This window comes from Homo sapiens, chromosome 2 (genome assembly GCF_000001405.40).
Source record: "Homo sapiens chromosome 2, GRCh38.p14 Primary Assembly".
Lineage (NCBI taxonomy): Eukaryota > Metazoa > Chordata > Mammalia > Primates > Hominidae > Homo > Homo sapiens.
Genome location: NC_000002.12, coordinates 38,619,986 through 38,622,969, shown reverse-complemented (window position 1 = coordinate 38,622,969; position 2,984 = coordinate 38,619,986).

Sequence of the window (2,984 nt, the reverse complement as noted above, 5' to 3'; positions counted from 1 at the left end):
AGGTAGTACCTTAGTGATAGTGCTGATAGGAGGTGAACTAAATTCAAGAATGTCTGTTGAATCCATTACCTGCACTGAAAAAAAAAAAACCGGGATTTTACGCTTATACAGGGCCATTTTGACCTGGCTACATCAAAATGGCTGCTTAAAAATGTCCTGCTTCAGACTTGTGTTGTATTCGGTCTTGCAAACACATCCTATCCTGACCACCTCACTCCCTGCTCCTTAAAACTATACCCTAAAGAACACAGGAGCATTTGCCTGTGACACAGATCAGGAAGAATCCATTCACAAACAACCATAACAATATGCTTTTTACACATACTAGGAGCAGAGGTAAAGCCTATGCAAATTATTTTTCTTCATCATATCTTTTAGGTATAATTTTAAAATTCTAGACATTCAACGATCTGCAGGTGATTGGTAATACTATTTTGCTGGCTGCACAATGTGAAAATACTATAGCATATAATGAGAAGTAGGGAACAATTCTATCTTTTGTGGTCAAGGCCCTCACATGTCAGACATGTTGTGGTTTTCTTCTGCAAAAGAAGCGGGAGGTGGAATAGGGAAGTAAGGAGAAAAGGGAAATGACTGAAGAGATTCAGTCATTCATTCAACAAATACTCATTGAGCCCTACTGTGTTCCAGCACTATTCCAGGCACTGTTAATAGAAGCAAAACAAAGATCTCTGCATTTGGAATTCTAACTGGAATAAGGTTATACCGGACATGAGTATGGGAACTGTTGGTGCATAATGATGTGTAATGTTCTCATTTGAGTCTATAGTATACTTCTTATAGCTACGTTGGAACATACCGTAGATATTAAATGCAAATATTCACCTATGAGAATTCTTTTTTTGAGACGGAGTCTCGCTCTGTCGCCCAGGCCGGACTGCAGTGGCGCTATCTGGGCTCACTGCAAGCTCCATCTCCTGGGTTCACGCCATTCTCCTGCCTCAGCCTTCCGAGTAGCTGGGACTACAAGCGCCCGCCACCGCGCCCAGCTAATTTTTTTGTATTTTTAGTAGAGACGGGGTTTCACCGTGTTAGCCAGGATGGTCTTGATCTCCTGACCTCGTGATCCGCCCACCTCGGCCTCCCAAAGTGCTGGGATTACAGGCGTGAGCCACCGCGCCCTGCCGAGAATTCTTACAGCAATTGTGGTGGTGCTGTTCTTGATGCCATTGGTGAGCCAACATTTACCACATACAAGAAGGTGTGTAGAAACCCAAAACTGAAATTAGAGGTAGGAAATATGGCTGGAAAATGTTATAGAAATGCCATATATATATTTTTTTTTCAATTTTGTGAGCATTTATTTGTTAATTTCTAAAGTTCTCGCTCCCTTTAAAATATGTCCCTTCTTCCCCCCCAACTTTTATTCCAGCTGCAGGGGGTATATGTGCAGGTTTTATACATGGGTAAATTGCATGTCACAGGGGTTTGGTGTTCAGATTATTTTCTCACCCAAGTAATAAGCATAGTACTCGACAGGTAGTTTTTTGATCCTCACCCTCCTCCCACTCTTCACCCTCGAGGAGGCTCCAGTGTCTGTTGTTCCTTTATTTATGTCCATGTATACTTAATGTTTAACTCCCACTTCTAAGTGAAAACATGCAGTATTTGGTTTTCTGTTCCTGAGTTAATTTGCTTAGGATAATGGTGTCCAGCTCCATCCATGTTGCTGCAAAAGACATGATTGCATTCTTTTTTATGGCTGCATAGTATTCCAGGGTGTATATTACCACATTTTCTTTAACCAGTCCACCACTGATGGTCATCTAGGTTGAATTCCATCTCTTTATAGCCTCATATTTTTGTGGTACTGTGGCTTCTTCCTGGTCTTTGTTACAGGAAAGACATTTAAGTGATGTCAGCTATAAAAAGGCTAAAGTTTGTCATCTGAAAGATAAAACACCAGAATCTCTACCTTTAGTTTCATCAACATTTTCCAGGTCTTTCTTCTATATCACCACCTAAAAATCACTTATGATCTTATGAAAGTATAAATTCCAGAGAACAACAATTTGTTTTGAAGACTGTGATAGACACTGCTAGTTACCTGTTTAGTGACCATTTCCCACTTCTTTCTTGTTGAGATAATTCTAATTTTATTAGGGCAGCAATGGCAGTTCCTGGTATAGATACGAACTTTTCCAGCCAAATCGGGGGCCACGTGACATGGTTCTGGCCAATAAGATGATACAATAAAGAAAGATATAGTTGGTACCATCTTTGCCTTCTTTTTTCCCTCTGTGGCCTTGAACAATATATATGTGATTCCTGAAACTGCAACAGCTATCTTGGACCCTGAAGAAAAGAGTGGAAAATTACAGAGGTGCCATTTCTGCCACGATTGAGATATTGAATCAATGCCTGCAGCTGCTACCTCCAACTCCTTGTTATGTCACAAAAATAAACGGCTGTTTGTTTAAGCCATTGTAGTCTGGTTTTCTGTTACTTGTAGTTGAATGTTATCCTTGGCGATATGAGACTGTAGCCATAGCAGCACTAACTCTGTTGATCAAACAGCTTCACAAACAGTGATTGTAACTTGACTTTACTCTTTCCAGGGTCAAGAACTCTCTGGTTTCTAACATCTGAATTCCATTTTTCTCTGTTTATTTTGGTATTTGTGTTTCATGTTGCAGACCGTTTTGAAATGTCTGGGATCCTTGGCTGGCTATTATTTTTAAGAGTGCCTCCTAAAAAGCCTCTTTGGAAACTCTGGGTGCATTGGCAATGTGTGTTGCCTAAAGGGCTTTTCTGTAGGATGATTAGATGGTGGACCAGCTTTATTATTGGGGAACCCTGTAATGTCAGAGCCTGAAGGCCTTTTCTCTCGGACTATCCAGTTTCTCCAGAGGATTGATTAGGTTTGGTGGTGGTGGGGCACGGGGTGGGGGTAGGTACATGCTTGGTTACTGGCATTTTGAGAGCAGGAAAGGGACATGCCTGACATGTTCACAGTTCGGTAC